This window comes from Homo sapiens, chromosome 5 (assembly GCF_000001405.40).
Source record: "Homo sapiens chromosome 5, GRCh38.p14 Primary Assembly".
NCBI classification, from domain to species: Eukaryota; Metazoa; Chordata; class Mammalia; order Primates; family Hominidae; genus Homo; species Homo sapiens.
The window spans coordinates 51,663,142-51,672,484 of NC_000005.10; the positions used below are offsets into that span (position 1 = coordinate 51,663,142).

At 35.6% G+C, this 9,343-nt stretch overlaps 1 annotated feature.

Annotated features, from left to right (window-relative positions):
• Window positions 1,157-2,592: an enhancer, noted in NCBI's record as "VISTA enhancer hs543". NCBI's record gives its function as "enhancer in: ear[7/7]" and the evidence as "EXISTENCE:transgenic organism evidence [ECO:0001131][PMID:17130149]".

The following is a 9,343-nucleotide window of genomic DNA, read 5'->3' on the forward strand; positions in this document are numbered from 1 at the left end:
CTATAGGAATGCTCTCTGTGAAAGCTGAAAAAATTTTTTTCTTTCCCTATTAGTTTTTAAATATCTGATAGATGCAAGTTTTGTGTGCTTGTGGCATTTAGTTTAACCACATTATCTCACTGTCAGATTTACACTTATAAAATTCTATGCAATCAAGTAAGTTCTTTTAAACTTAGTGTATATTGTGATATTGATCATGCCAAACATTTTGAATTGTAACACCTTTGACTAGGTAATGTACCATTCTCCACATGCAGTTCACTGAATAATGTATTGCTGCTTAGGGTGGAGACACATGAAATAACTCAGTTGTTGCTAAACTACTTAAATGCACTTTGCCAACCTGAGTGAAACAAATGTGTAGGGATATTAAAAGGAAAATACCAGAAATGAAAGCAGTCAGATTTGTGTGTTGTTTAATTTTAACTGCACTCCACTAGCAGAATTCAAGTTTGCCCTTTTGAATCATTATCAATTCATTTGAGGACTCATATAAACATTGATAAATGGCTCCAGGGAAACATAAATGGCAAGAATGCTCAGAACAGGAATAGAGACTTAGGCCACTGTTTTGGGAAGACAAAGCTTTTCTTGCAAATGTTGTGCTGACAGTTTGTGTTCCTATAGATTCTTACAAATGATTTAATGGCATTAAAAAATAAAGATAAATTAACTAGGTTAAAGAAAGGAAAGGCAGTTACTCTTTTGCTTATTTTGCTAAAGCTGAGATAGTATTTTTAAAAATATGATCTTAAAGTTGTAGGACTTTAAGTGCATAATTGTTATTGGGAACTAGAAAAACAATTATACAAAAATTAAATAATTTTTGAACAATTCTGTGGATAACCAGATATATTTTGTTCAATGCTAACAATCTCCTCCAGATAAAAATTAGTTGTGGTTTACCCACCAAATAGGATTTCCCATGTTGAACTAAGTTTAACTGAAAAAGTTCAAAAGCCAATTTTGTGAATAATATTTTTAGAAGACTACTTAAAATAATTTTTATAATAAATAATATAAAATAATATAACAATTAAGATAATTTGCTTTAAAATAATCTTTCTAAAACCATTAAAACTGTTTTTCAATTTTTATCCTTTTAAAACATCAGGTATACTCTTTTTATCCATGTGTGCTTAGCTATTTTAGTTCTAATCCACGGGTTAATGTGCATAAGGTTGTGAAGATTTATAAGATGTGGACAGTTATTGTATTGATTAAAATGCATATTTTTCCAAAGCAAGTATATACTTTCACTTTAAAAGTCAATGTAAATAACAAGTTAGTATTCAATTTACTAATTATGTTAGACTTAGCTTGTTGCAGATTTGAGTGACAGCCGTTTTTCTGATTCTGTCTCCTCTACCCTCACTCCAGATTAGAACTGGCACTTTCCCCTATGCAAATGAACATCTAATTAGAGACACCTCCCAGTCAATAAGCCACTTTCTTATCACCAGTTATATTACCTGACAAGCCCTTTCTCTGCAGTCTTGGCCCACCAAGAATCTTCATTCATTTTCTCTTCTTCTTCTCTGCAAAGTGAACTGATCCCGCATAATCCCTGGAATAATGTAGCTTCTCTTGTGGAAGAGCAGCTTCCCTCGCCCCCTTTTACATCAAGCTAATGGAGCCAGTAGGTATCCTATTGATCTTTTCTCTATATGGTTTCCACAAGGATTTGACAGACTTCCTTACAGGTTAAACATCCAGGCTTTCTGAAGTGGCTATAAAGCTTTGTTTTTGATTTTTCTAACTTTTTTTTTTGAAACCCTTGCTCATCTGTAATCTTTAAAAGCTCAGTTGATGCCATGCACAGCAAAGCCTTATTTCTTTGCAGAACTAATCTCGACACTGTCTAGTGTTGAGTACAGTTGTCTGATTCAAATCTTCTGTTACAAAGCAGATGACATCTAGCTAGATGTCATGAGAAGAGCCTAACAATGACAATTCACTTATCCCTTAGAAAGAATCAATTCTCCCACAATGCATCTGTCAGAGAACTCTCACTCAGTAAAAGCAATTTTTCTAGCTGTCTGACACTGTAATTGCTCTTAAATTTTCAATGAACGTTTTACAAGGACTCCCCTGAACCATGATGAAAAACTTAACTTTTTTCTAAAAATGAGAGGCTGACAGGATGAAAGAGGTCTTTCTCTTTAAAGCCTTGCTTGCTTGAGTAGGAATTCTTTCATATCATCAACAAGCTGTTGAATAGAGGATAGATTACTTTCCATTTATTTCATCAATCAGATTAAAGGCTCTCCTTCACAATGCCCTTTAAACAAGAGCTGTTTATGATGTCCTCCCAGGTTTGACTTTAATGTAGTATTAAATCACTATGGACAGTGGAGTCAGTAGAGAATATAAATATGACGAATATCTGACAATATTTAAGTATTGTATATATTTGGGTCATTATCTTCATTCTTGCCACAAAAGAGATGTAAACAAAAAAGAAAAACAACCATAGATTTGCTATTCTTCAGTCTGAAAAAAATTCAACACAATTTTCCTGTATGTATCAGTAAGCAGAAATGCCAAGCATGCTAGTGATTTTTTTTCTCTCAGATCAGCAATTTAAAAAGAAAAAAGAAAGAAGTAGAGATCTGTTCATTTCTGTTTTACTCTAAATATGTGTTTACAAGCTTTAAAAATAGAACTCTGAGTTCATGCATTCTTTGCAAATTCAGACGAAAAGACTGAACTATAAGGTAGTTTGGATAATCCTCTATTTTTAGATTTTCCAAAACTAAAACAGGGCCAAAAAGCTGTTTATTATCAGCAACATAATAATCTGTTCAAAGAGAGAGGTGGATGTGTCAATTAGGTTTAAATAATTGCTTTAATATGTAAGTGTATATGAATGTATTTGCTGAGTAAATTTTTTTAAAATAAATACATCCAAAGTTTCTGTTTTAGGTGTGTGGTAATATTACAACTGTTGTAAGATAAAAATAAAATTTAAATTTCAAACTCTAATATGAATTGCCCCGAATGAGAGGAAAAATTATTTATCATAATTGCAGAATTAAAAAAAAAATCTAACTGTGAAAGGGAGTTTCACAACCATCTTCTTTTATCTTTAACCCTATATAAGCAGTTCCTGAACAACAGCTCTGGTATTTCTCCATCTTCCACTAGAATGCCTTCAAAAACTGGAATCTCACTATATTCCAGGGCAGTTTATATATTTTCACACAATTTTATTTATCAGACAATATTTTGTTCAAACATTGAGTCCAAATATTCATTCCGTGATATATTACCATTGATCTATAAGCTATTGTTTTTACATAAACTAAAACATTAAATATATACATTTTAAAATGTGTGATTTGAAACAATGAGTATTCAAGTATTGAGACAATTAATTTTTTGGAGATAATTCTCTTGTCCTCTCCACCTTCTTTCTTGGAGGCTAATCTCTGTCAATTCCTACAACACTAATTCATGTAGTCATTACAAGAATTTTTTTTTTTTTTTTTTTTTTTTTTTGAGAGACAGGGTCTTGCTATGTTTCCCAGGCTGGAATGCAGTGGCTATTCACAGTCAGTCATAGTGCACTGCAGCTCTGAACTCCTGGGCCCAGGCAGTACTCATCCCTCATCCTCCTAAGTAACCAGGCCTACAGGTGAGCACCACCACGTCTTGCTGTCATTGCAACAGTTTAATAAAAACAAGTCCCAGGCTGGGCATGGTGGCTCACACTTGTAATCCCAGCACTTTGGAAGACTTAGATGGGTGACCACTTGAGCCCAGGAGTTCAAGACCGGCCTGGGCAACATAGTGAAACCCTGTCTCTACTAAAAATACAAAAATTAGCCAGGTGTGGTGGCATATGCCTATAGTTCCAGCTACTCAGGAGGCTGAGGTGTGAAGATTGCTTGAGCCCAGAAGGTTGAGGCTGCAGTGAGCCATGATGGCGCCACTGCGTGGCATGGTGTGGGTGGCAGAATGAGACCCTGTCTGAAATCAAACAAACAACATGAAAACAACAACAACAACAACAAAACAAGTCACCTGGGTGTTTAATTTACATAATCTCGTTGAATCCTGTATCAGGATATCTGTGATCAACATGTCTTTTATTCGGAAAAGAAAGTGAGGCAAAGAAAGTTTAAGTAAATTGACTAAGTCACACAGTAACTGGCAAATCAAAATTCAAGCTCACATCTGTCAGGCTTTCAGGGCTATCATCTGTACATGATTCCACACTGTCATTAGTCCTTTTTGTGCCACTCTCTTTTTTCTGTTTACCTTCTGAATTTATTTTCCTCTAAAATGGGGAACCATAAAAGTAGAAGCAGGAAAGTAGTTAAGGTAGTGCTGTGGTTCAGACAACAGCTATGATGGCCATGATCAAAATGGTAGCAGTGGATATGAAGTCTGAAGATGAGCAAATTTCATATTTATATCAATCTATGAATATATTTTCTCTTTCTTTCTTCATTCCTTCCTCCCTTTTTCGTTCTCTCCTTCCCTCCGTCTTTTCTTTCATAGTCACTTGCACTCCTGCATATTTTTGTTAGTTTGCTCTTCCTATCATAAACATGCCATGCATTATGACATCTGAGTCATTGATAAAATGTTTGCAATAGGTAAGGTTGAAAACTGCACTCTTCAACATTTCACTTGAAGACTTTCCTTCTGGCCATGATCATTCTATTAATTGGCCATCTTTCTGTCAGTAACCAATTCCCCTGGATAAAATAGTCATCAAGTCCACTTTCCTCAACTTGTCAACAAGAATCTCATTAAAGCCTTTATCAGATGCCCGTATTTCATATACTTAGTGGATGGCATTATCTTAATCAACCCTTTAGGACATACCAGAGAGTGTGGCAAATTTGGTGTGTTTTTTTATTGCTTTAAAAGAAAACTTTTGTTTCTTATTTTTAAAATCTTATTCAAGGTATAACTTGTATAGACATGAGCCATTAGTTCCTGTCTGCTTTTAGTTAATCATGTGATTTGTACTGTCTGCACATGCCTTTTTTAAAAAATCTGAATTTATCTCAGAGACTCTTAGGCATTGATCTCTTCATGGGGAATTGGAGGTGGAGGAGTAATTTTCAGAAATGGAGTGAGAATTTTCTTCTTGAAAACCTCCTTAATTTCAGGAAATACGTTTCTGTTTAGTGTCTCATTTCATAAGTTCATATGTTTATTTCATTTTTCTATTTACCCTGGATTCTGATCATGCTTGGAGAAACCACTTGGGGTAAAGAACTCATTCAATTTTATTTCCCTTCCCTTAATTTGTTCTGTTCCTCACTGATTCCAGAGTTTCAGCTGAGATCTCCCTATTTCCTGTACTAACACTTACCAAGTTACATACATATACCTGTCTAAGACTCATTCTGCCATGTTTTGCTATGGCCACCATGTTTCTTATTCTCTGAGGTACTTGTTTCATTGATTATTCTCCCTCTCACTCTCTCTCTGTCTATAAGCTCCTACTTGCTACTTTGCTCTTAGTAAGTAAACTTACCTAAGTCTCTACCATTAATAATATACAAAACCTGCACAACGAAATGTCCACTCTCCGTAGTTACTCTTGTTTCCCTCTCTGCCCAATTACAGTCAAGAGTCTTGAAATAATAGACCAACCTCAGGATAACCACATTTCCTTTCTTCCTTTCAGTACTCAATCCAGTAGAATCCAACTTCAGATCTATTCCACTAAACTATCTCTGTTAAGATCACTAATGATACTCCTATTACCCTATCTTCATCTCTTCTCACTTGACTTTTTCTTTGTTATTTGACACTATAGCTCAGAATGTTGGATTCCAAGATACTAAATGTTCTGGTTACTTGTTAGTAGCCTTTTTTGTTTTTTGGCTTGCACTTAAAATATGCATTTTATTCGGTGTTTCATTTCCAGCCTTCTTCTTTTATCATACCATATTCTCTCCCTAGATGACCTCATTCAAATCCCAGGCTTTAACCACTGACTCTAAAATCTTGAACTCTATCTCATACTCTTCTTTGAGATTCAAATATTTAACTGTATATACTGTACAACTTTACCAAATTTTTACTGCTTGAAAGAATAAAGCTGATACTTCTCTTCCCATTTGGCTCCCTATTCTTATTCTTTCTGGATTTGAACCCAGAGGAGAGGAAGTATGACTAACACCTGATGAGCGTGCCAGGAAATTATTTTGAATATAGATCAAAAACTTGCATTCCTGGGCCACAGAATCAGCAGAAATAATCAAATGACCCCCTCTACTTTTCCAACCCTACGATACCTAACAATACCTCAATTTGCCAGATTCTCTACCTTTCATCCGATTACAATGGTTAGGTGGACTTCCTGTATCAGCTCCTACGCAAAGCAATGTTATGAGATGCCATCTGTTCTCACCTTTCCAATAGCTTTGCTCCTTCATATATTTCCTTTCTTCTGCATCATCAATTTCTCTTTATATGCATTTGATTATTTCCACCAGCATACCCACCCTCTTTAGTACCTGCCAGCCTTAGAGCATGACTTTGACGTCACATCTTTTTCTTTTTTTTTTAAATTATACTTTAAGTTTTAGGGTACATGCGCACAACTTGCAGATTTGTTACATATGTATACCTGTGCCATGTTGGTGTGCTGCACCCATTAACTAGTCATTTAACATTAGGTATATCTCCTAATGCTATCCCTCCCCCCTCCCCCACCCCACAACAGGCCCCGGTGTGTGATGCTCCTCTTCCTGTGTCCATGTATTCTCATTGTTCAATTCCCACCTATAAGTGAGAAGATTCGGTGTTTGTTTTTTTGTCCTTGTGATAGTTTGCTGAGAATGATGGTTTCCAGCTTCATCCATGTCCCTACAAAGGACATGAACTCATCATTTTTTATGACTGCATAATATTCCATGATGTATATGTGCCACATTTTCTTAATCCAGCCTATCATTATTGGACATTTGGGTTGGTTCCAAGTCTTTGCTATTGTGAATAGTGCCGCAATAAACATACATGTGCATGTGTCTTTATAGCAGCATGTTTTATAATCCTTTGGGTATATACCCAGTAATGGGATGGCTGGGTCAAATGGTATTTCTAGTTCTAGATCCCTGAGGAATTGCCACACTGACTTCCACAATGGTTGAATTAGTTTACAGTCCCACCAACAGTGTAAAAGTGTTCCTGTTTCTCCACATCCTCTCCAGCACCTGTTGTTTCCTGACTTTTTAATGATCGCCATCCTAACTGGTGTGAGATAGTATCTCATTGTGGTTTTGATTTGCATTTCTCTGATGGCCAGTGATGATGAGCATTTTTTCATGTGTCTTTTGGCTGCATAAATATCTTCTTTTGAGAAGTGTCTGTTCATATACTTCGCCCACTTTTTGATGGGGTTGTTTGTTTTTTTCTTGTAAATATGTTTGAGTTCATTGTGGATTCTGGATATTAGCCTTGTCAGATGAGTACATTGCAAAAATATTCTCCCATTCTGTAGGTTGCCTGTTTACTCTGATGGTAGTTTCTCTTGCTGTGCAGAAGCTGTTTAGTTTAGTTAGATCCCATTTGTCAATTTTGACTTTCGTTGCCATTGCTTTTGGTGTTTTAGTCATGCAGTCTTTGCCCATGCCTATGTCCTGAATGGTATTGCCTAGGTTTTCTTCTAGGGATTTTATGGTTTTAGGTCTAACTTTTAAATCTTTAATCCATCTTGAATTAATTTTTGTATAAGGTGTAAGGAAGGGATCCAGTTTCAGCTTTCTACATATGGCTAGCCAGTTTTCCCAGCACCATTTATTAAATAGGGGATTCTTTCCCCATTGCTTGTTTTTCTCAGGTTTGTCAAAGATCAGATAGTTGTAGATATGTGGCATTATTTCTGAGGGCTCTGTTCTGTTCCATCGGTCTATGTCTCTGTTTTGGTACCAGTATCATGCTGTTTTTGTTACTGTAGACTTGCAGTATAGTTTGAAGTCAGGTAGTGTGATGCCTCCAGCTTTGTTCTTTTGGCTTAGGATTGACTTGGCAATGCGGGCTCTTTTTTGGTTCCATATGAACTTTAAAGTAGTTTTTTTCCAATCCTGTGAAGAAAGTCATTGGTAGCTTGACGGGGATGGCATGAAATCTATAAATTACCTTGGCTTTCAACAGTGTCTTGAGATTTTGTTTTCTTTCAAAGCTAACCTTGAAAATATTTTTCTACAATAACAACCTCTAATGTCTCATTTTAAAAATTTATCCTGAACCTACTCCATCTGTACAATGCTCTGAAACTGCTCTTGTAATGTCTTCTGTTAACTCAAATCCAGAAGTCACTTTTCTGTCCTCATTTAAAAAAAAATGGTTCAACTGCCTTTGCATACACTGATCATTTCCTATTCTGCCCATACTATTTAAATTGCAAACCATTCCCCCCGATTCCCAGCACTCTAGATCCATGCTAACTTGTTTCATCTTTAAAAATATTTTCCATAAATAAATCACTCTCTATTATATGCTTTTCTTTTTTATTATGTTTATTGTTTTATTGTCTGTGTTCCTCAGTTAAACATGACTTCTAAAAGAATAGATTTTATCAGAAGCTAAAGAACTCCATTTTGAACACTTGTTATTTTGTTATTTTGGTTTTCATTATATTCTATTGGTTTTGCTTCTGCCTTACTCTCCTTACCTCTTAGTCACTTCTAAATTTTACAGGGCCCAAATACTGAATTCTTAGCTATTTCTCTGTTTTAGCCACAGTTTTTCCTTAACTATGCTCCAGTTTCATGGATTTAACCATCTCTATTCAATGGACTCCCTAATTTGTAAACACTGTCTTGACTTATCCCTGAGCTTTCCTCTCATATATGTGGCTGTCTACTTGACATCTCTTCGGTATCTGGAAGAAACTTTAACATATCAAAAATAGAACTTTTAATTTCTACCTCAAACTTATTTATTCCAGTTTTATCTATCTCATACTTGACATCCTCCATTGCTCAAGCTCCAAACATAAACTCATTCTTGATTCTCCCATTTTTCTTGTTTCTCATCAGAAAATTTATGCCTATTTGCCTTGCCCAGTCAACATCAACAGTTTCCCGTTAATACTTTCCCCTGCCCTTTTAACATATTTTCCTCCAATAGTGATCTTTTAAAAACTTAAATCATGGAATGTCATGCCATGGTACCCACCCCTCCCATTAGAAACTCTTCAACGTCTTCCTATCATACATAGAAAGCCATTTGTATGGCTTTCTCTCCTCTCCCTGGCCCAACCTAGCCTGGCTTCTATATCTTCACTCTATACCATAGTCTCTCTAACTCATTGCTCTCCAACTACACTTGGCCATCTTTCTATTCCTCAGACATTTCAAACTTCCTTATA